Raw genomic sequence first — 25610 nt, 5'->3', positions numbered from 1 at the left:
GAAAGTTCATTTCCTCAGAGGTCTTTCTGCTCAAATGGTCAAGATACCTCCTTGGCCTGGCTTTCAAACTGGATACTTCCCCACACAGGAGTGCTCTAAGGAAACTTTTCTACAGGTGCTCAGATGAAATAAAAAAAAAAACAGCAAAGAAGAAATCAGAAAGAAAGTAAATCACAAACTCTCATTTCTTTCTCCCACCAAATATGTTCAAATAAAACTAAAAATTCCAGCAACCTCTGGGGGACTTTTTATTTCCTTTTTTTCCCTACATTCCTTAAAATTTCGGTATCAGCACTCTAGGAAGGCATAAATTCCAAATTCCAGCATTTCAGACTATCGTGGTTTTTATTAGAGAAACTTGAGATTTTAGAAGGGTTAAAACAACACTGAAAGCCAGGCTTTGGGGATCAGAAGATCCCTCTGCTTTGGGTGTATCAATAATTAACTTTATAAAATTTCGAGAAAATAGTAGTCATTGGCATCTATTTGCCAAATAAAGCATGGACCACTCACTGAAAGGAATTCACAATCCAGTTCAATTTCAAAAGCATCTTACTGAGCAAAAGTGCCAGACATTCTGCTAGGTAACGAGGAATCAGAAATGACTGAGACATGAGGCAACACGGCAGAGGGGAGAGGGCTGAGCATGTAGCAGGTGGGGAGGGCTAGTGTTTACTCCAGAGCATTCCTCAGTGCCAAGCTGAGAGCCAGCAGGTCTGCCCTGGGACCTGGCAGAGCACACTGATCTCCTGGAAGAGCCCAAGCAGAGTATCTGAGTCGGGGAGTGGGTGCAAGACCAGGAGGCATTGAATCAACAAAGAGGAGCCACCCAGCTGAGAAAGACCAGGTGACATGTTTGTCAGGCTGCAGACATCAGAAAAACAGGCCAATAACACACAGGGGCAAGGCTCCCTGGAAATGCCAGGAGCTTCAGTGCAGCAGGGGCCAAGGTAGGACCAGAGTCCATCCACAGATCCAGGCACCATCTTGATGTAGATCCAGGGACCGGCTCATGAGAGCAAGCGCTGTGCCCACTCCACACAGCCAGCCACTATCTAAAGACAAGCAGGGGACAGGAAATGGAAATTAGAGAGGCTCAACAATCACCATTAAAGACAGGTTTACCTACAGAGACTCTAGAAAAATTACTACTGGGGCTAAGATTGAAGGTGGATTATGTACTTAGTTATCTTTTTCTTTCCTATTACCTAGAAGGGTAGAGGTTCCTGCAGAGCATGAGATAGTTATAGAGAAACAAACAAACAAACAAACAAATTTTATTTTGCTCTTGCACAGCTTAATTGCAGTGGACAATCCAACTGACCAAAAAAAAAAAAAAAAAAAAAAAAAGAATGGCTGTAAGGATATGCCAGCCTTGGAGGATGAATAAAGCAAAGGTATGGAGTTGAGAATATGAGCACCACATTTGGGAATTAATAAGATTTTCGACTTCACTATAGAAGAGAGTTTAAGAACAAGACCCTCAAAGGTCAGGGCAATATGGAGGTTTATGATTCCCTCAATATGGAGTTTAAACCTTATTATTTGACTTTAAACTCCAGTTTCATTTGCAAAACAGCAGCATTTTTTCTGAGTTAAAAATAAATCCAAATTTCAAATTAATGTCATCATTCACCTTCGATGCTCTAGTCTGCAGATCTTTTCTTTTATGGAGAAATGCACTAACAATTTGACTACCGATGGAGAGAGGAGAGATCCTTGGGGTAAAATAAATCTCATGTACAAGAGGAGCTGAATTCATTATATGCATGTTCACGTAAAAAGTGATCAAAATGAGCAAAATAATAAAAAGAGACACATAGTAAAACTGTACCACACCAAGGGATTGCATGGTTTTACTTTCCACTGGACTGTAAACTGTCTGAAAGAAATTAAAAAAAAAAAGGGATGTCTGGGTTGAATTTCAGCACATCGCATGAGGAATTAATTACCTCCAATTTCAAAACTAGCCTTTCTGGGGTTTGCTTTCAGTTTGGGATATTTATGACTTTGAATCTTTTTTACGTCAAATTAGCAGGGTTTTCCCCTTTTATTATCCATGGTACAAAAATAGCCATATCCTTCCCCATCATACAGCACTGAGGTCCTCATGACCTCATTGGGAAAGGTGGCTGTTGTCAGAAGCCTTCACCCATCCATCCATCCCCAGCAAGGGTCAGTAAGGGGGCTCCCCCTCATCATCTTTACTTCTGGCAAAGGAGGGTCGGGGTAGATACCAGCTCACCTCAGCACTGGCTGTGTCATCTGACAGGCAAGGCAATTCTGCAGCAAGCACTATGCAATGGAGTCATACACTGATGGTCAAGGGCTACTCCTTCCATGTTGATCTACATGTATGTCCTTCAAAAGGAAATAGACTTTATCTTCTAGGACCACAGGCATCTGCAGTGCACAGGCTGTCTCACAACAAATTTCACTAATTTAAACTGGAATTTTATCTGGCAGTTTGGAATGGCTTTTGTTTGAAACTCAGTGGGACAGTGCTCCTGCCTCCCAATTTACATGGGCTGTTGAGTTACTGAGGGGATGCACACATGCAGAATCACCTGCAGTTCCTCGACCATGCTGAGCTGTTTTATGTCTTTTTCCTCTACCTGAAATACCCTCATCCTCATCCACTTATCCTTCACTGAACTCCTATACACTCTTTAAGACCCAGCTCAACCGCCACTGCTTAGGCTTCTCTGACCTTCTACAAGGAGGGGTAATTGCTTCCTCCTCTGAGCAAGCACACACCCCTCCCATTTATGGCATACATCACGGTTCACTGTACTCATGTGTCAGGAAGTTGGTCAGTGCCCACACTTCTACAAGGGACTCTAATAGCCTTGAGGATAAAAAGTTGATTATATGCTTGGCAAAGAGTAGGTGTTCAATAAAGGCTAATTGAATGTCGCAGATACTAAGAGAAGGACAAAATGACAATGGGGCAAGCTATACAAGGAGACAATCAAGCTGTCTCAATGGATGTGCTTTGCAGTAGACTTTGTTAAGTAACAGAATGGGGTGGCAAGTGAAGTGGTGGAATGCCCACATGAAATTCAAGTCAATGACTAACTGATAGGTACTGATGAATGACTAATGGAATGAGAGAATATTAATTGAGCAAAATATTTGAGTTGGTAGGATAAATAGAGTTCCCCAAAATTAACTTGTTAACTGATTGTAGCTGCCACAATAATCTACAGGAGACACAGTGTCTGTACATAGATGAATGAGGCAGAGAGATGCAGAGTCTGCTTGACTGAGGGTGGTCCTGAGTGAAGCACCAATCCTCGGAGTACGGGCCAGGCCTCAAGGCATGAGAATCATCAGCAGTGAATCAGCATCCCTGGGGGTGGCCTAGGTATCTATATTTTAAACACATTCCATGGTGATGCCTATGCATAACAATCTGAAAACCTATGCATAAGAGAGTCATCTCCCTACTAAAGATTTTGACCTTGAACTTGCTTCAAAAGTAAATTTCAATGGAGAAAGTGCGGTAATTTCAATAAAAGATGCTGGAGCAATTGCAAATCTATGTAGAAATAAAGGCGAATATTGACCCCCATCCCAAACCATGTACATAAATTCATTTCCAAAGGGTTTGTAGATCTAAATATAAGACACAAAACAATAGCTCTTATGGAAGAAAACACAGAAGAATAGCTCCACAACTTGGAGGAGGATAAAATTTCTTAATAGATCACAAAAGCATTAAATAATTTTTCCTTCAGGAAAAATATATATAAATTGGAATATATTAAAATTAAGAATTTTGTTATCAAAAGACACTATTAAGAAAGTAAAATCCAAGCCACAGGAAGGATAAGAGTTATCTATGATACAGATAGCAAACCCGACAAAGGACTTCCCACAAGAATAAATTTAAAAACTCTCATAAACCAATAAGGAAAAGGCAACTTTACAGTAAAATAGATAACAGACGTGAATGGGCACTTCACAAAAGGAAATATACGAATCGCCAATAAACATAGGTAAAGGTGACCAGCATCATTAGTTATCAAAAAAGTGAAAATTAAAACCACAATGAGATGGATCAGGTCATGCTATCCCCAAATTATGGCATGTTGGCATTTGAGAAATCAGCAGAAGCGGGAAGTTCTCTCTGACCTTCTCCAGCCATTCTCCCCTAAAGGAGGCCATAAAAGAATCATTCAACCTTCCTCTAAAGTAAGTTACAAGAGCCTCATTCCATCAGTCCTCCTTATAAGAAATGAAGACACAGAGAAGAATCTGAACAAACAGGCCTATGTTCCCCCGTTTGTTGCCAGTAGATCATACCCTTTTTTCTCCAATCATACTTCTGCATGACTGTCCATAAAAATACACAGCTTTCTTTACTTCTTCAGGGCTTCATTTCTGGATGCTTCAGTGTTATGTAAAACTTAAATAAACTTGTTATGCTTTTCTCATGTTAATCTGTTTCTATTACAGAGGTCTCAGCCATGAACCTTGCAATAGGTGAGGAAAAGATATTACTGCTTCTCCCCTACACATCCAACAGAATGGCTAAAACTTAGAAGACTGGCAATGCCAATGTGAGTAGTGTAGAAAACAAAACAAAACAAAATCTCTTCCTCTAACCATCTCAGGTTCTCCAGTGGGGTACTGTAAATTAGACTGGCTAAAGTCAGATGAACAACAGAAAAACAGAGGTTTATTCGCATGTGCATGGGGTTTACACATGGGAGTACCCAGTGATGAGTCCCAAGGGTGGTTAGAACTTGGGTTTACACACCATCTTAGGCCAAAACAAAGGAAAAGAGGCTTGGGGCTTCTTGGTAGGGGAGACAAGTTACAGGAAGATGACTGGGAAAAGTATGGTAAACAAGGGTTGTTCAATAAAGTATGTTAAGTGGATTTAAGTTGGCTCCTTCTCCATTGATAAGAGTTGTTAAGAATCCTCCTCTTCCCGGTATGGGAGAGGAAGACATTCTACAAATGGAATTTTCTTTATAAATGTAAATTTGCTTTACAACAGAAAAACTCGTGCCCTGTTTTAAGAGCTTTTCCGGCATCTGCTGGTTCTTAATGGCCTTTAGCTCAAAATAATCTCTATGCCAAAGAGGCAAATGGGGGCAGGCGGATAATCCGGTGCCCCTCAGTAAGGTTATGGAGCAATCAGAGCACTCACACACCACTGATGGGAGCAAAAATTGGTACAACAATTTCTGAAAAGTGTTTGGCAATATCTCCCAACGTCAAGCATGTGCATATGCACTTGGTGGCCCAGGAATTCCACTCGTATGTACCTATCCAAAATAAATACATACATATGTTCATCAAAAGACATATACAAAAATGTCATTAATAGTGGCACTATATGTAAGCCAAAAATTGGAAACAACTAAAATATCTTTCAGTAGGAGAATGGTTAAATAGTATACTTGTACAATAAAATCTCACATAACAAAAAGACCTGAAGAATTGCGGCACAGATGAACATCACTCACACTGTGCTGAGAACAAAAAGCCAGGTCCTAAAGAGTATATTCTGTGTGATTTGAGCTTTATGAAGTTCAAAATCAAGTGAAAATAATCTATGGTGATAGAAGTCAGAACAGTGGTGACCTTAGGGGGTGTAGGGAATGAGAAGGGGCATGAGGGATACTGCAATGTTCTTTTTCTGGCTGTGGGTGCTGGTTACACGGGTGTATTCAGTATGCTGAAATTCATCAGGCTGAATACTTACGATGTGTGCACTTTTTTGTATGTATGTTTACTTCAATAAGAAAGCATACTTGAAAAATAAACTCCTGAAACCAGCCACCATCTGAGTAGACACTTTGGCATTAGCATTCCACAGTCTAGTACACTCTTCCATCCAACAGCTTTGCTAAGCTGGACTTCACCCATAAAGCCACTCTTCTGTATGATTATAATGGATTTCTGCATTTATATGGCGCCTTTCCTCTGTAGAGATCAAAGGGCTTCTGCATAATAAAAGATAGCATATCAAATGCAGTTAGCTCTGAGGGAATAAAGGGGGAAAACTGAACTCAGGGACATATAATCGAGGAAACTTACAGAAAATAAGTAAAATAAGTCATAAAAACTGTAATGTAAAAACAATCATAAACATCAACTATCAGAAATTCACTTGTGTGAAATAAAAGGCTCACTTCTCTTGAGGTTGCTTTCTTACTCTTGACAGGGGAAGGACGGAGAGCAGCCGAGGCATTCAATTTAGGACTTAGACTCCTAGGCACCACATGGCAAGATTTCTCTGGAGTCAGCTTGGCACCTCACCGCAGTAAAACAGAACAACTAAATAAACTCTCTGTGCTGCTGTTCAAAGAGCTTTCGTATGTGCTTTAAGACATAAACTCACTAGCTCTGACAACTAATTAAATGGGCCTTGTTCATATTTGTGAAATAAATATTCTATTGCTATATCTCTCTGAGGCATGTAGAATTATATACATCACTTTCATGTTTTACATTGATATTCACCAAATGTGTTTTTCTCAAGCTTTAATTCTTGAAATTGCCTAAGGAAAGTACATACAATGAGGAATTTTTCACTGACCTAAAGTCAGTTTCGAAAACTGTGCGGGTGACATTCTGGCTTGGCCAGTGACCCCAGGAGATGTTTCCATTGGCCTAAAAAACGATACCCTTAGCTTTGTGGATTGTGAAACAGTGGCCCAGGCATCTCCCTGTAATCTCTACACATGTGGAAGGAGAAAAAGGAAAACAGTTTGCCTTGAATAATTTAAATAGTCCCTGTTCAGCAAATGGATTAACTTCAATAAAGGGAATCAGATAAAGAAAAGCAGGGTTTTAATTTCATGCATATTTCCCTTGTGAGGGATGACAATGGTCAGTGATGATGGAAAGGAGAAGGAGGAGGAAACTGGCCGTGAACATTTGATAAGCCCTTTAAATGGATAACCTCATTAAATTTTCACAACAACCCTATTAAGTTAGTAGTTTATTATCTCCATTTTACAGATAGAACAATGGGGATTTAAAAAAAAAAAAGTCTAACTAGCTTGCCTGAGGGTCACACTACATAAGTGATAAAGCCAAGGTGTAATCCCAGACAATGTGACTGCAGAGCTTTTGCTCTTTGGCTGGGCAGTTGATGAAATCAGGTGGAAGGGACACTTGGGCGTCCCATGGTAAGGTTTTGTGTTAGAAGACGGCCTTTGCGTCTCCAAGGGATCTTACTTTTCAGGGACTGCTCTGGCAGCACGCTACTCTTGTCATCTGTGATAAGCTTCAGAGAGAGAAATATCTGCTTCCCTAAGTAGAATGAGCCACAAGTCCTGTGTGCCTACAGGGACTCTCAAACAGTGTGCCAGGAATCAGGGCACTCCTTGGAATCATGTTTTGACACAACTCACATGCCTTTAAAATATTAAAACCACGCCCCCTCATCAGAGTTTGCCCTTTTGAAGATTTCCAACTTGTCCTTGTGTTCAGGATTTTGGCTAGCAGCATTTACAAAGGGTTCCCTGGAAGGTAAGTTCACATTCCTTGAAAACCCTATGGAACAATCCAGATTTCCTCTATAGGCAGTAGCAATGATTCATTCACAACAAGAGTGTTGCTAACTCGTTCAATAGGAGACCAGTCTTTAGGGAAAAAAACACAGCTAGGAGATTTTCATCTGAACAGGAGGTCACTTTAAAATTCAATTGAGTGACACACTTGTGGGTTTTCCCTGGCACCTAGAATATATGGACTAATAATTGGGAACAGCTGCATGTCTTGACTGGAACCACTCTATTTAAATAGCTCCAAGATTACACCCTTGGCCTCTGCTTCTTTATATACTTTGGAAATAAACTACTGTGGATGCCCAAATGTATTCAGACAATGGAAGAAATGATTTATGGAGACTGACCATATACATCCAGCGCTACAAGCCCCATTCATTTCTCTGGTTCAATCATCACCACCCATGCGATGGACGGAGAACAAACTGACAAGGTCACGCGGTTACTTATCCCCAAGAGTCACCCTGAATAAAAGTTACCCTCAGATTGAAGTTCTTTTTCATGACCTTCACTCTAAGACACAGTTGTTGCATTCTGACTCCAGCAAACACCTTAGTTATCAACTTTATTCAATCTGACAATCCCAGAGCATTTATTTCTGGTGGGCCCCAAGTGAAGTCCTAAACAGTTAATGAAATTCCTTTAGGATATGGGATTTATATGTTTTAACTGGACATTTTAAAAGATGCTTCAGTTTTCTTCACATTTGGGCAATGTTATTCAGTTTTATTTTTCTTTTGAATCATTGATTCCACAAAGATTTATTATATGCTTATCCTGGGCCAAGTGCTCATCCCTCAAAATGGCCTGAGCTAAATCTCTTCATGCCAAACACACTTGTAATCATCCTTTTCCAATGTAAATATCCAACAATAGAAAAGTAATAAAATATAGCATGGTATCTCCACTTGGAAAAAGATTATGGGCCCATTGACAAATAATGATAGCATCTACAGGAAATTGGGAAAATTAAAATGATATTAAGTTAAAAAGAAAGAAATTGAATAGACACATGATGACAATTATGTAAAATTATAACAGAAAAAAAGGTGGAAAGGAAATAAAACTCAAAAGGAAACAAATAGTCTATATTCTGAATCTCTTCATAAATATTCCCGAAAACCACATAGATCAACAAAATGAACAAGTAAAACCACCAAGAACCCATGCCTGTAGCATAACTACGGAACAGAGAATACTCCAAACTTCAAATTATGCCCAAACAGGTAAATAAATGACCAAATTCAGAAGAAAAAGTGCAGAAAAGAAGAAAGGAAAGCAGAGGAGTAGGTATGGAAAACACCCCCCAGGGAAACAATGTCTCATCCCAAATGGGAAAACATTGAACACAGTTGTGAGACGTGGCGGATTAGGGCACTGGCTACTGAGAATCACAAGGAAGGAGATTGAAAGTCTGCAGGAACAGAGGTAGGTATCTTGGGAAGCCAGGGGTTCCGTAGGAAAAGGATTAACTGGAAAGGGCGGCCTTCAGAGATTTGATGTTGAAGAAAAACAAGAAAGAACTGGAAATTAAAGTACTGGAAAAACAAGAGAATTACAAAACCAGAAGGCAAACTGCCACTCCCCAAAAGGAGGGCAATTTTTAAGGAAATTGCACTTCACAAACAAACAGAAGAATCTCTTGAATTCAGAAACCTCATGTATCACCCGGTCCTCACCTCCTCACCTCTGTCTACATGTGACAGTCATTGCTGGCCGCTCCAGGAAAGAAAACATCTCAAAATGAAGGGTAAATAGCAACATATCCATACAAAGTGACTAGAAGATGAAAGCAGATCATAAAAAACCTTTTAGCTGATGAATATTCTTCCTCCCCAAACAATAATGAAGCATGAGAAAATGTGAACACCCCAGTCTTAATTAAATAACAAGTAAACTTGGAGGTATGGGAGAAAAAAAACACCCTGCCTCAGGAAATGTAACCCATGGCATCACTAGGGGTATTTTGGCCAAAATATTTAATCTGAATTGAGTCATTCAGAAACAGCCAGACAAATTCAAATTGAAGGCTATTTTACACAAACAGCCTGGACATGAAAAATGCCATTATTAAAAAACAAAGAGAGAGCAGAAAGACTATTCCAGATTAAAGGAGACTAAATGAAGTCAAGCAATTAAATTATAGGAGATGACTCATTATATCATATGTAGTTTTTAAAAAACTATACAATTTTTGAAATGATTGGGGAAATCTGACCATTATAACTGCATTGCTTCATCAATGATTAATTTTATGAGGGTGATAATGGTATTGGGGTTATACAGGAGAACGTCTTTGTTTTAAGGTGATAACTGATAAAGCATTTGGGGGAAAACATGATGTTTACAACTTTAGAATGGTTCAGAGAAATAAGAAAATACGGCAAAATGTTAGCAATCAGTGAATCTGGGTAAGGAAAATATGAGTGTTCATTGTACTGTTATTTCAGTTAACCTAATTTGAAATTTTCAAAATTAAAAAAAAATTGAAAAAAAAAGTCAAAAGTATTTAAAGATGTTAGAAGAGGAGGCAGGCTAGTGATTGATTACCTAGGCGAGGGGACAGAGTCGTGACTGGAAGGGACATCAGGGACTTCTGGGACTGGTGATGTCTCCACTGCTCTGGATGGTGGCTACCCAAGGCTGTTCACTCAGAGAACTGTAAACATACAATTCAATTGAGCCAGGCTTCCATTAAAACTGTATTTATTGTTTGTTTAAGGCAAGAGTCATGAGGTTAAGGAGATTTTGTTATTTTACTTAGTTACTTTTCTTTTCTGTACATTTTTAAAAATGTCTTTTTAAATAACTCACATTTATAATTCAAATGCTATAAATAAATGTCTTAAAGTTTAAATCTTCCTTTTCCTCTTCAGAGTTGCAAGAGAGTGTGATGGTCTAAGGTGTAACAGGGTGTCAAGATTCCATTTCCTGTTGTTCAGGAAAGGCTTGATCTAGGCACTTCTTGAATGGAAACATCACTGCATTTCCTTGTATGCCAGGTGACAGCAAGAGAGGTTTGTATTCTAAATATTTCCCTTTGGAGATAAGTGACCATATTTCATGGTGATTAAACAATGGCTGGTTCAAAAAAAATGTTTAGAATATTTACCCCAAGTGATTATTGCATCTGAGTCTATGCTTTTCTTCGAGCTCTCTTATGTTTTCAGATTGGTATGGAGATGCCATACCCAGGAATCTAGAGACAAAGTAACAACTAGGTTAGCAGCAGCATCAAGACCTGCCGTGTTCCCTTCCCAACTTGGGCAAAGCTATTTGCAATACATAGTATAATAAAATCCGAGTAATAAACATGTCCTTCTCCTTCTGTTCACTCATTTTAGAACTGACTTCATAACATTACCCTGCAGATTTTATTGGTTATCTACATTTTATGTATCTGCAGGGTAAAGATGAAAAAGTGAATAAAAATAGTATATCTCTGTAAGCAGGTACATCTGTGTAAAGAAGAATGGCAGTTTTCTAAGGGAAGAAATGTCAGCTTTTTAAAAAAGATTCTAACCCACACTCTAACTTAAACTTTTTGATAAGAGAAAAAAAGATAGTCCAAGCACTTCTAAAACAGATTAAAGAGCAAAAGCTGGGCAGCGTCCTTGTAGTGCAGAAATGAGAGATGAATGAGGCTTCACTAGGTCATTCTCAATATCCTCTAGAAAGTTTCCTGGGTGTTCTTCTTACTTCTCTGACCACATGTTTTGTAAAATTATAAGCTTACCTATTTTTCAAAGCTTCACTGAATTAAAAGCTTTGTAATTATTTGAGGAATGAAACAAAAAATGATTAAGAGAATAATTCATCTCTTAATGGATGTAATTTAAAACCTTGGCAGTCTCTTTTCATGTCAACATACCACTGTTCAGAGCTCAGTGGGTCTGAGGTGGAGCAGAGGGACAACACTGACTCCAAAGAGAAAGAAAGCCTTTTCTTTTTCTTTTTTTTTTTCAGATAGAGTTTTGGTCTTGTCACCCAGGCTGGAGTGCAATGGTGCAATCTTGGCTTACTATAACCTCCACCTCCTGGGTTCAAGCGATTCTCCTGCCTCAGCCTCCCAAGTAGCTGGGATTATAGGTGCCCACCACCACGCCCGGCTAATGTTTTGTATTTTTCAGTAGATACAGGGTTTCACCATGTAAGCCAGGCTGGTCTCAAACTCCTGACCTCAGGTGATCCACCCGGCTCAGCCTCCCAAAGTGCTGGGATTAACTGCACCCGGCCAAGAAAGTGTTTTCTACTGGAGGCCACATCCACACAGACCTTGTTCACCAAAGTCTAGAAGGGTTCCATTCAAAGGCAGCACTGACTGTCGCAGAGTCTTAGTCTACTCCTCCATGTGCTGGAGCCCCAGCCATTTCAAACAAGTCGCTGGTTGCCTGTAGATTTCTAATTCTCCAGACAGTGGAGAAAACTTACAGCAGAATAGTGCTGAGGACATGGGAGAGTAAGCTTCCAAAATCCACCAGATGCAGATACCAGCTGGAGCAATTACTGTTGGTCTTCAGCTCTGCCCATCCCAGAGAGAGGCAGCACATTCACAGGCAAAGCCTTCATGTCTGGCGACTCACTCATGTCCTAGGGAAAGAAGTAAAATAGACACAGCCTCCCTTTTCCAGCGAAACATCATTTCCCTTAAAGGAACACAATGCAGTCTTCCCATGGAAATGGACAGAAATGCTCAGCCAGGCACAGGGTGGGAAAGGAAACACTCTTGAAAAATCACAAATCCTTGCCTCTGGTTAAGATTAAACCAAAGTTATCTTTCAATGAGCACTTACAGCCTAAATTTTAAAATGTCCACAGAAAGAAATGGATTTCTCCTCGTCCACAAATTTCTAAACATGAAAGAAACATATTTTCCTTTTTCTATGTAAACTTTTCATCAGTTCTTGATAGCAATAGATAACATTTCCTATAATATTCCACACACACATTCAGCCTTCATCCACTGGAGCCTGTTATTTAGTCTCCTCAGATGAGCTTTCTTCACGTTGGGCAATTTTCATCCCTTATTGATTCCTCATGTGCCTTGCTTTTCATGTAAAGATGTATTCCTAAATGCATCAAGCAGACCCTCTATAACACATCCATGTGTTGCAAGGTCCTGGTCCACATGCCATACAAAATTAACTTGAATAATCCTGTCACCTATTTAGAAGTCAGCATGGTGGTCACCCCTGGGGGTGGTGACTGGAAGGGGGCACGAAAGTGTTACATTGTTCTGTTTCTTGACCTGGGTACTGATTCCATGAGAGTGTTCTCTTTGTGACAATTCATCAATCTCTGTCGTTATAATTTCCTGCACTCCTCCGTATGCGCATTACTATAGTTAATGAACTGTTAAAATGTTTGCAAGAAAACAACAAAACATATCATGTCATCTACTGACTTCGCCACAGGTTCCTCACACATTAGATGGAAACCTTACCCTCGCCTATCTCTCAGGGTTGCTGTGAAAAAGAATTCTGATAATATCAGGGGCGGGGCTTTGTAAACTGTGAAGCTGGTGGTGCCATTATGGCGGATCACATCAATACTGAGCTTCTCAAAGGGCTATGTTTTGCAGGACTAGCCTTTACCAGTGTAATGTATTTACAGTTGATAAGCAGACAAAGCAGAATGAAGGAATACATGATTTACACATTGTTAGACCACAGTTGGAACTTCTATTGCCCAACCCTTCTCTCACCCACAGTCCCAAGACAGATTATTTTGCAACTAATTACTTACAGATGTGAAATCATTTAGAGTGTTATGAAAATAGCAGTATGGATCCTGGAATGGGAGGCAGTGAGTCCGGAGTAGACAACATAACACAATTATTGTTATTCCGGGCTTGAGGCCTCATTTCGTGGCTCTCAGTTCTGTCTCCCTCTGATATTCTACTAGGGAAGAAGTAAAAACTGCACCCATCTCATTAAAAACAAATCTAGATTGTATTTTCTTTCTTACTTATTCACACCCTTAATACCAGAAACTGAAAATATAACTTTAGCCCTTCCATTATTTTCAGTTTTTAGCTTCAGCCAATTGGAAAGAGGACAAATTCTTCAAGAAAAGTGACACAGAAGGGGCATTATTTCAAAACAGAAGGGAACAGAAGGAAAATAATGAAGCGCTTCTGAAGCAATAAATGGAAAGAGGGAAACCCTAGTGGAAGGAGCTAATGGCATGGGATTTTCTCTCTCTCTCTCTTTCCCCCTCCTCCCTCTCCCCAGCCATACCCCCTTGCTCCCTTTGCAAAATATTTAGCCAATGTTAGAAGCATTAGAACAGAATGGCACAATTATTGCTTTAAGCAATTATTAAACAAGAAAAGACACTTCTGAATTTTGGGAGCGAAGGACAGAGCTTGAAACATACATTCCTCACAAGTGGAAAAGGAATAAAGATAGAAGAAAAATGTTCGCTTGAGACCCCATGGGACCAAAGCTCTTCCCACAGGAGTAGAATCCCTCAGACAACAAATAACCCATGTGGAGGCCTCATTTAGGGGGCTCAGAACTGAGTGAGGGGAGAAATCTGTAGATCATGAATCCCTTAGTTCTGAATTATTGCTTAATTCATGCTTGCATGTCTTCAAGTAAATATTTAAAATCAGGCACATCAGCACTATGAATTTCTCTCTGTTGGTTTAATACATTACAAACAACTTTGCTTATAAATTAATTACTGGGCACCCCAAAACTAATAAGAAAAACAGTTTACCTACAATGGAAGAAGTAACCCCAGATGCAAGAAGACAAAAAGTAATGACTTCGAAGTTAAGAGAGAAAATGATGTTGTTCTAATTAGCATTTTTACCAGGAAAAAACAATTATTTTAAACTAAAATTCTACTAATAGGGAAAATATTATTCACTGAAAGTTTATCAAACAAGAACTTTTCTGTTCTTGCTTCTAAGAATTATTAGAAGATATCTTCTAGGAAAAAAAATCCAAAACAGAGATCCAAAAGAGGAATGCATGGGATCCAAGAAAAAGGAATAAATAAAGAAATTAGAAAAATTCAAATGTAAACCTAAAAATGTATTGGTAACATGACCAGCACTTCAAACATTTGTCACGAAATTATGCCTAAGTAGAAGCATAATATAAAAAATACTTTTAGTATTATCATCAGTTTTTCTTTCAGCTAAATCATTCCCATCTGCCAAATAAACGAAAAGCTCTGCCGTTAATTTTCCTAAACTTTTTTAAAAATCTTGCTGCAAAATAATCCAAATTGGTGAGAATTGATTGTTTTTGAAGCAGAGTGACACATTCACAGTTCTCTTCTTTAGTGTATGTTTGAAATTTTCCACAGTAAAAAAAATTACAAATTTTCTCCTGTTGAAAGAGATACAGACTGAGGGAACGGAAGAGAATCTATGTTGATATTTCAAAGAGATACATTTAAGCTGAGCGCGGTGGTTCAGGTCTGTAATCTTAGCACTTTGGGAGCCTGAGGCGGGCGGATCGCTTGAGCACAGGAGTTCAAGACCAGCCTGGGTAACATGACGAAATGCATGAACTAAAAATACAAACCCATTAACTAAATATATAAAAATTAGCTCGGCATGGTGGCACACACCTGTAGTCTCAGCTACTTGGGGGGCTGAAGCAGGAGGATCACTTGAACCCAGGAGGTCGAGATTGCAGTGAGTCAATATCACACCACTGCACTCCAGCCCGGGCAACAGAGGGAGACCCTGTCTTAAAAAAGAAAAAAATATCGTTACGACAAAATTATTAAGAATGATTAAAAATGAAGAGATGAGGAATAATATACCAGATGAATGTTTTCAAAAAAAAGAACTAGATTTAATATATTAGTATCACCAAAATATAACTCAAAATGAAAATATTAAACATGACAAAGGGAGATTACATTGATAGAAGGTGGAAACATTTTTGTGAATCTTTATTCACCTAAATAGTAGCATATAAAGTAAAAATTTTGGAAGGATAAGGAGATATTAACAAATCCAATGTCATTGTGGAAAACTTTGACCTAATCTCTCACAAATCAACAGATCAGGTTGGGCAAATGTAAGATTTCAGAATATTTACCAAAAAATGGTGATGTAATGGTCCTCAAGGAAAAAACCTCCATAAATTATGAAAGTAAAAATCACAGAGGGCTCATTTCCTGATCATAATGTAATAGAACTAGAAAGTAATATTCAAAACATAGGGGAAAAAATCCCCTTCATTTAGAATGTATTTAATACTTCTTTTTAAATAACTTGCACACAGGAGGAAATCAAACCTGAAATATCACAATACTTTCAATGCAGCATAGCAAAAGTTATGGAAGGTTTGCAAGCTTGTGTCAAAACATCTCATGTATACCATAAATACATACACCTACTATGTACCCACAAAAATTCAAAATAAAAAATTATTTGAAAACCATTATGGAATGCAGTCAAATTGGTACTCAGAGAAAATTTTATCATCTTAACTATATGTATTAGAAAATTAAAAAAATTGAATACAAAAGAACTAATTCAGCTAAAAGAAGATAGAAAAAGACCAAATAAACCTAAAGGAAAATAAAATAAGTAAATGTCATCTTATTCCATTGTCTCTTTATGTCAGTTTGAACTCTCCTTTGAGTGTGTTTTTTTTCAGAGACTGTGTTTTTGTTTTGTTTTGTTTTTTGCTTAGGCTAATTGCTGGTGCCTCAATCATTTTTCTAAAAATTTCCTTCCAGAGCTTATAGATCATTTTTTAAATCTTCAAGATGTTCTCCTTCCTTCTATAGTATTTTCTCATCAGCCTAAATTGAAGTTTTAAAAACAATGTTTCTATCCTTTACAGGAAGAGTCATCTAAACTCAATATTTGCCAACACCCAGCAATATATTGACTTCCCATGGCAATGCTGACGTGAGTTATGTTCAGACTTGTATGTAGGCTAACATAAATTCCTCCCTGCCCAATTTCATGTAACTAGTGGGCACTCATCACATATGGCTCCGTTGTGGTGAGGTGGAATTATTTACTCCCTCTGCTGTGGAGACTGAATTGGAGATGGGATATACTTGATCCACGTGGGAGCACCAGAATCAGCTCTGCTCAGACTACCTGCCACTGATAAATAATCATGGCTGCCCCATTAAGCCCACATTCAGCCTCAGACTATTTCTGGACACAATTCTCCCCATAGTCTTCATTATCTGTCAAAAATTGTCATATAAGATGAAACCTACTTTTCTACCCTACGCTCTACCCAATGGACCATCTGCAAACTCCTGTCTGGTGTCCACTCTGCTCAGAAACCCGCCCTCGGCTGGGGCTGCCTCCTTGCTGTTGCCCTTGGCTGGCTTCCAGAGCTGCCTCTTCTTCCACAGTGCCCCTTCCCTTTAGAAAATTATCCCTTTCCTCCAACCCAATAAATATGTATAGCTCAGAGGTAGAAACCACTTTCTTGTGTTTTTAAAATTATTGTAATCTTCCCAACCTTTTGGATATCCTCAAGTGACCCTTGATTGGGTCATAATCTGAAATTGGGACGCAATAACCAACATTTAATTTCTGTCAGGTCTCCAGTCATCAGCACGTTGACTTGAACTCCATCTGGAATGATCTAAAATTAAATTACCATTGTCTTTGCCCTTTAAAAAATAAAATGTCTGTATTATAGCTGCCTGCTACCTACGCTTTGAGCATGTTAGGCTGAAAAAGTACATACAGACCAATAGTCTTTCAATGAATTTAATTTCCTACTTATTTCCTGAATGTAATTCATTAAAATGAACAGTTGAAAGAAAAATGCCTTACACTCGCCTATATTTGGATACCTAACAGTGACTAAGAAATCCACCTCAAGGAGGAAGACCCTGGAGTCAGTCAAAGCACAGAGGATTTTTCCAGAAAGAAGCAACAGAAAATGCAAACTGATTAAAGCAAAACAAGGCGGGGTTTGTTGAAAGGGCACTGAGTAGCTCACAGACTGGAAGAGCCGCAGCTGCATGGAGCAGGCTGGTTCCAGGGCCTTGGGGGGCTGGTTCCAGGGCCCAGGCCTGGCAGCCTCTCCCTGGCACCCCCTTGGCTCAGTACGGCTCTGGGCTCCTCTTTCTCCACACAACAGGAAAGATCCCTGTGTTCCTCGCATCACAGACCAAAGACAGAAGGACCTTCTCCATTGGCCTGTCCCAGTTTTAACCATCCCAGGGAAGGTGTCTGATTGACCCCGCTTAGCTTTTGGGTCCCTCCATCAGCTGGAGATGCTGGCTCAGGGAGTGGGGTATTCTTAGGGTCCAGGCCTCGATCCTCTGTCCAGTCCTGGGGTCTGTGAACAGAGAGAGATGGAGGGAGTAATGGCAGAGGAGGCATCCAACACCCACAGCTACCACATCCATGCCATGTCCCTCACACAGATCGCAGCATCTAATTCTGAGCACAGGATTGAACCGGGGGAAAAGGAAGGACACTGGGTACCGATGGTTTCGAAGAGAGCCACTGCGAGTGTGGGAGGCCAAGGACACCAAAAGAGAATTTCAACTGCCCGTGACAGGCACCCGCACCTCTGAGCAGGGATGTGTGAGGAGTCCACTGCCCATCTCTAACCCCACACTCCGGACTAAGCCTGTGGCTGGAAAATCTCTTCTTGATGTCGTCATTTAGCCCACTGTGGGGCCTACTCATCCTCCTTCAGCCTGATGGCTTTCAAGTTCTTACCAAGTCTTATTCCAGCTTTTATTCATGCCCTGCCCTGTCCACATACACACTGCATGCTTACACATCCTCAGCTCAGGGGCTCCCCAGCAGGGCTTTGTGGTTGTTTCTTTAGCCGTTTCCTACAAATGTGCACTGAATCTGTTTTACGTGACACAGCCTGGGCCTGGACAGAAACTCACACCTGGGGTAATAGGACCAAGGTAAGATAGCACTGAGGGTAGGGGCATCTGACAGGGTGCCTGTGGAAAGGTCTAGAAATGCTCTTATGTGATTCCTACTATGTGCCGGGAAGGATGCAAAGTATTTTACACTTATCATTCAATTTAAACCTAACAACAACCACGTGAATAGGCATTATTATCTCTGCTTCACAGACAGGAAAATGAGGCTCAGAGGGCTTAATAGTGTGACCACTGAGCTGCAATTCTGACCTCAGGCTGCCCACTGCAGAGTCCAAACAAGCTCCATGCACCACCTCTCACGACTCACACACTGCAAGGACAGGAGCCTTTAGGCTCTGTTGGGTCTTGTCCTCCTCCCTTTTGGCAGAGTGCTTTAGCCAAAATTGAGCCTTGTATCCATCCACCTCCCTACCAAGGCTCAGGCACTCCTGGGGGAGGCAGGGACTTGGGAGAGCAGGGAGTCTGCAGGTTTCCACTCATGGATCTCCATGGGAGACGGGCCTGCGTGAGGAAGATGTTCTGTGCAGCTTCCTGAGGCGGGGTGGCCAGATTGCTGGGGACCAGCGGGAGGCTGTGCAGGGCTTGAGTCAGCTACGGATTCCCAAAACAGTCCTTAGGTCTCAGATCTGAATTGTGAAGAGAAGGGCCATGGCATTAGGTGCAGCACTGTTTTCATGAGTAGGGGAAGACTCTGCAGGCAGGGTTGGCAGAGAGCAAAGAGGGCTGGATAGGGAAACAGTTCTGATGTCCAAGTGACAAACTCCAACTCACACAGAGGAAAGGTAGGCTGTAGGCAAAAAGTCTCCCTTTTATTGACCTCAAAACCACATAACCCAAGATAATTACAGGAACACAGTTTTTACAAGAGGAAAATAATTTTTCCTCTGAATCTGTAAAGTCTACAGAAAGGAATACTGCAAGTATGCCTTTAATAGTTTATAAGGAAGCTATTCCAGAGATCGTGGGAAGCCACTACCTGCAGTAAAACCCGTAAAGATCACAGGAGAACTGTATTTTAGCATTTACCTGGTAAAGAGCTCCTCTCCTATCACTAACCCAAGGATTTTCAAATCTCAAAAAAAAAAAAAAAAAAAAGAAAAAAGTTAACTTTACCAACTTCACCATACAAAGCAATTGTTCATGGTGTTCATGCATTCCCAATCTTCAAAACCTGTCAGCTGAGTAATATGATTTTCCCCAAGAAATAGTTCCAATATGTAGCCCTGCTTTCCAAACATATCTGGCAGTTTTCTCAGAAGAAAATACAATCAAGTGCTTTTTAAAGTTTTTTTTTTTTAAGTCTTTTCTTAGAATATTTTCCAAAACAAAAGCAAACTATATAGAACTATTTTCTAGTAAAACCGGTGACTACATTTCCACTTTGCCTTATAGGAACAAACAATTCAATCAAATCAGAAGTAAGAAGTGTAAAGAAAGGAATGTTGTGTGAGGACAATGCTTCGGGCACACAAGCGGCTCTTTCAGGGATTAAGTATTTGGGGCAAGTGGCTTCCCCAAAGCAGATTGTCTTAATTCACAGGCCTTGTTTGGTTTGGTTAATCCTAGTTTGGGCCGCCTGATTGGGTCACACCAAGCTTTAGAAAGGGTTAGAGTGCCGACCACTCACCCAGCTGAAAGGTTTCCTTGATCCTTTGTCACAAACCAAAGAAATTCTTCCTTAAGGCTAAAATGAAGACGTGGCCTCAACAGCCTCCAGCCATCCCCTCATTCAAACTCACCCCAAAAGCAACCACAACTCAGTCCAATGCTTCATTTACATCTATCTCTGTATTTCCTTTTTTTTAAAAAAAACTAAGAATGTTTGAGTAGTGTGGCCTTGTTATAAGCTATGTACATTAAAGCCAACACACGGAGGCCCCTAGTCATTGTCTTCCTTTACTGCGGAGACTGGCGGGAGGGGTGGGACGGGAGGTGCTGGGACCTGGAGTCCCCGGGGCTGGGCAGTGGTCGTTCTGAAGCCAAACACCGAAGCCCGAATGGGTCATTCTGGGACAGGGAAAACACAGGATCCGGCGAACCCAGAGGGAGGACAAGGCAAAATCGCAAGTCTACCAGAACGAAGCAGCAAGCCACCCAGCAGCCGCGAGCGGGGCGAGGGCGCCGGTGGAGCGCGGCTGGAGGGGACAGAGGCCCGGGCAAGGTGGGTGCGCGCCAAGGCGGTGCTCACTTGTGGCTCATTGTACAAACAGAAGATAATGGCAAACAAAGCCTTTCCATTCACACCATGATTTTGAAATAAGTGGAAAGCAGCGATCCCCCCACCATAGGGTCGGTGGAACATTGAAGAGTGAACATTTCTCAGGGGGCGCTGCTGCTGCTGCTGGGAAGCAATCGCTGAGCAAAAGGGTTTATGATTGTCCAGGCAGGGCGAGCGCCAAGTAACACCGAGGACAGGAGGAAGTAAGCCCTTTGGAAGGACAGAAGGGAAACACTAAAGAAAACCCACTTATGAGAGCACCTACCCCGTTCTCCTTATGCCATATTCCATTACATTCCTGGCACACCAGTCTGGCCCGCAAACAATTTCTTCCCTACGGTTTCCAGCCTAATTTGTAGGCAAATCTCTCCTTTCCCTCAACACGAAATACAATACCTTTCTGTGATGAGAGGGAATTTATTCCATTCTACGCACTAATTAGCTCTGTGATTCCCCATTTTTGGTCCCCTGTTGCTCACTGGAACATCCCAAAAAGCACAGCCTCCCTCTCCAGGCTCTCTTCATAATCCCCATCATGGGAACACCAAGCAGGGAACAAGGATGGGAACAGGCCTGGCCCCGACAGTGTGGAGCACGTCAAGGTTGAGTTCCTCTGTAGAAACCACACACTTCCACCACACATCCAGTGTTTCCTTACCATCTGAAATTGCATCGAGCTGGAATTTGGTTTGCATTTAAAGGGAGGGGTTTTTTGAGGCAAGGGGCCCCTGCACTGCTACTGGATGAGTCTGGGCCACCACTGGGAGGGCCTCTGAAAATTGGATTCAGATGGCCAAGTTGCGTCCATGCATGCTCAGCAAACCAAGCCTCGAAATCATGCTTGGCCCTGCTTTCTACACACATGTTCCTCCACTTCATGATGCCTGCTGCCTGTGGGAGCCTGTGAAAGGAGCTAAGGATGCAAAGATCAACAGGCCATGAGGCCAGAGTGGGGACATTTCATCCTTTGGAGAGGACAAGGTCATTAAAGCCTTTCCAGAGAAGGGGACACTAGAGCTGAGCCTTGAGGGATGAAGATGATGGGAGAGGAGGGTCCAGAGAGAAGGAAGAGCCCGCTGGCATGGAACGCTGCTGGGATAAATATCACCATCCTTAAGTCGCCTGCAGGGCCGGCATGGGCTGAGGGTCTCCCTGGAACGGTGCAGTTCGCCATGCTTCTCTCCTCTCTGTGGACCAGACACACGGCCTTTTCGCCTTTCCTCCAACTTACCACTCTGCACACTCTGATGAGCCTCCTGGTCTCAGGGCCTCAGTCACTTCCTCAGAAAAGCTTTCCCCACTTTCCAACAAAAAACAAGTCTCTGCACTTTGCAGGGGCCTGTATCACCCCCTGTGCTTTGCCTCGGTAGCACTCCTCAGAATGGTCATTTTGTAGTTATCTATGGAATTCATTGAGTAAAGTCTATTTCCCCCCACTTGGCTGTAATCCCATGAGGGCAGGGAGAGGGCTTATTTTGGGCTATTGTATCCCCAACACTAAGCACAGTGCCTGGCACATAGTAGACAATAAATATTTATGAGATGAATGTCTGAATGGCTGAAAGAATGCATAAATGAGTGAGTGCAGAAGGCAGGAAACCATGCCTCTGCATCCAGAGGAGTGCAATGTCACCAGAGGGAAAGGTATGCATGGCAGGTAGGGATGCCCAGCGAGGAAGTCAGAGGAAGAGGGGTGATGAAGGAACTTGGCTCCACTGAGGGTGTGAATTTGAACTTGATACTGAAAGCTGTGAGGATCTGCTGAAGACTCTTCAGCAGGGGACTGGCTGCCTGACAAATCTAACTCATAGAAAACATGCAGTGTGCTTAAGTATTTAGGGCCTTACTGAACTCACGAGGAGAGAGTTTGATCCTTAACGGACGCAGGGGTAGGGGCATTGTGGTTTAGTAATCCAATTGAGTTGGCTCAACAGGCAGTAAGTGCAATTTACTGTGAACCATAATTATAGGAGTTTAATTTTTTACTCCAAAAAAACTCCCCAGAAGAATCAATTATGCTGTGATTTGAAAAAAAAAATTTGAACTTGTACACTTTAAATTTCTCTTACATGCTTTTCGCACCTCATTTATTTTTTGTTCTGTTTCAATTTGAAATAAATCCTCCATATATGTGTAAATTAAATGGATTTGCTTTTGTTACATGGCTTGAAGTGGTTTTCATGTGGATCTGTTTTGCTTTGCTTATGTCTCGTTTCTGTGTGTTTTAATCATTATTTGACAAGGGATTTTTAGACGTAATTAAAAGCAGCTAATCATATCAAAAATTCAAATGGAAAGTTTTATAAACCTGTGGCACATTACAAAAAAAAATGTAAATAGTAGCAATGTGGGAGCTGTGCTAGGTTTCACAAATAAGAATCCAAACCTTATAAAAGGTCTCGAAATATAAACTGTTGACAAGAGAAGGCCCAAATCTGAAATTAGCCTTTTAAAGTCTTTTAAATATTTACACAGCAATAAAATACAGAGGAGTTTTAGAGGAACTCAGAGGTAACCACAGTAGCAAGTGTAATTATTGAAGTTTAATTTGCTGATACATTTAAGAAAGATTGTATTGATTTAAGAGCATTGAGCTGAATACATGGTTTCACAGAAATGCAATTTTAACGTTGAATCAGGATATGTCACAGTGAATACTTGACCTGTGAAGTTTAAGTACCTTATTTCTGACAAAGTTCAGTGACTAACGTTTTAAAATACCTAAAAGGGAAAGAAGCAAAATAGTATCACTTGAGCTCCTACTATGTGTCAAGCATCATACCAAACGAGTTATACATTTCAGCACAGTTTAGTCAGCACACAAAGGGCTGAGGGAGGCATTTTTGTACTCATTTCACATATGCTAAGAACAGAGGTTCAGGAAGAGTCCCTCACTGGCTGACGTCACATAGCGATCGAACAGCAGAGCCAAGTTTGCCACCCAAGTCTATCCCTGAGTCCCTTTGCCCTTTCCACTGTCACTTAGAATTAAAAAAACAAACAAACAAAAAACAAAGGAAACAAAAATTGTTAAATCATTTTTTAAATGAGCTCACACAAGAGTATTTTAGCAAGAACCCCCCCATGCAGGATTTAAGAGCAATTATGTAAATGACATTCTTTGGCTCTGGAAACTAACTCCCTAATTCACACAAAATGTACATTCTCCTCATTCGTGTTTTTGCCCCTGTATGGGGACTTTAATGTGCTAAGTCCTAGAGGTCAGCGTTTACTTTGCTCCTTGTGTACAGGCTCTATTCAACAGGTTGCACAAATGAGCACTCAATAAGGACTTGGATAAGGACAATGACTCAGTTGCATCAGAGTTCATCCCCTTTCCTTCCTTGAATTCCCATTCCAATACCTGTCCCAGGTTAACTAGGGAGCCCCTCATGCTCATGGTTCTCTGGGTGCACTACTGTGAAGTGCTTGTTACATTGCATTTACTGTGTTGTTTGTGTCTTTCCTGTTCTGAAAGCAGGCAAGAGTATTGCAATTTTACTTTCCAATTGTTTGTGGGTAATATATGGATATTATCAAGTGTTTACATTAAGCTTGTATTCTGCAACTTTGTTAAATTCAGTTATTCTATAAGAATTTGAAATTCTAAATTCTAGTTTCTGAGAATGACATTATCTGGGAATAAAGACAGTTTTATTTATTCCTTTCCAATTTCTGTGCACTACCTGCTGGCCTCATTGCACTGGATAGCATCTCTAGTACCTGGCTGAATAGAAGGCAGAGCAGATACATTCTTTCCTGATTCCCACTCTTGAAAGTAAAGAGCTCAGTCTTTTACCAGTAAGTATGATGTTGACTCTAGGTTTTCATAAATGCCCTTTATCACCTTGAGGGAGTTCTCTTCTATTTCTACTTAAGCAATAATAGGTACTGAATTTCATCAAATGCTCCTGCTGCATCTACTGAGATAATCTTAGTGTTTTTCTCTCATATTCTGTTAATACAGTGAATTATCTTGATTGATTTCAGAATGTTAAACCAACATTGCAATTTGGAGGTAAACCCCACCTGGTTATGATGTGTTATCCTTTTCATATATTGCTGGCTCCTACTTGGAAATGTGTTAGTCAATATTTTGCATCTGTATTCATGAGGGACATTGGTCTCTAGTTTTTTTATTCTTCTGTTTGTGTCTTTTGCTATTGTCCTTGTTTCCTAAATACTGTTTTTGTCTGGTTGGGTATCAGGATGATGCTGGCTTTTAAAAAAAGGTGGAAATGTTTCCTCTGACGTGTTTTCTGAAAAAGTTTGTGTAGGATTGATATGTCTTCATTAAATCTTTGACAAAATTCTCCAGTGAATTTGCCATCTGAGACGTTTTTAAATTACAAGTTTAATTTTTTTTTGAGACAGAGTCTCATTCAGTTTCCCAGGCTGGAATGTAGTGGCACAATCACAGCTCACTGCAGCCTTGACCTCTTCAGTTTGCCAAGTAGCTGGGATCATAGGCATGCACCACCACATCCAGCTAATTCTTTTATTTTTTTGTACAGATGGGGTTTCACCATGTTGCTCAGGCTGGTCTCAAACTCCTGGGCTCAAGTGATCCACCTGCCTCGGCCTCCCAAAGTGCTGGGCATGAGCCCCCATGCCCAGCCTGTGTGGTATAAATATTTATTTAGAGAAAGCCTAAAACAAACAACAGCAACTTACTTGATCACTATCGGCTTTGTGGTATAATATCAAGTGTCTCATATCCAGGCCACACTGATGCAAGGGGTGGGCTCCTAAGACTTTGGCCATCTCTGCCTATGTGGCTCTTCAGGGTACAGCCCCCTTGGCTGCTTTCACGGGCTGGAATTGAGTGTCTGTGGCTTTTCCAGGTACATGGTACAAGCTGTCAGTGGATCTACCATTCTGGGGTCTGGAGGATGGTGGACCTCTTCTCACAGCTCTACTAGGCAGTGCCCCACTGGGGACTTTTTGTGGGGGCTCCAAGCCCACATTTTCCCTCCACACTGCCCTAGTAGAGGTTC

General features: G+C 40.9%; 1 protein-coding gene and 1 long non-coding RNA gene across 3 annotated transcripts in view; both read right to left on the bottom strand.

Annotated features, from left to right (window-relative positions):
* Positions 1-326: 326 nt before the first annotated feature.
* Positions 327-15037, bottom strand: LOC124901611 (uncharacterized). The gene is made up of 2 exons (XR_007060280.1): positions 11964-15037; positions 327-10731 (listed from the first exon to the last, which is right to left on the bottom strand). It is a non-coding gene; the product is annotated as an uncharacterized LOC124901611 (long non-coding RNA).
* Positions 17234-25610, bottom strand: part of BBS9 (Bardet-Biedl syndrome 9) — a 506483-nt gene continuing 498106 nt past the window's right edge. For both annotated transcript variants that reach the window (NM_001362679.1, NM_001348041.4), the window contains one exon: positions 17234-17824. In NM_001362679.1, coding sequence (NP_001349608.1) covers positions 17730-17824 — 95 coding nt within the window. In that variant the 3' untranslated portion in view covers positions 17234-17729. The remainder of the gene's footprint in view (positions 17825-25610) is intronic.

This window comes from Homo sapiens, chromosome 7 (assembly GCF_000001405.40).
Source record: "Homo sapiens chromosome 7, GRCh38.p14 Primary Assembly".
Taxonomy (NCBI): Eukaryota; Metazoa; Chordata; class Mammalia; order Primates; family Hominidae; genus Homo; species Homo sapiens.
This window is presented reverse-complemented; position numbering and strand designations above follow the sequence as displayed.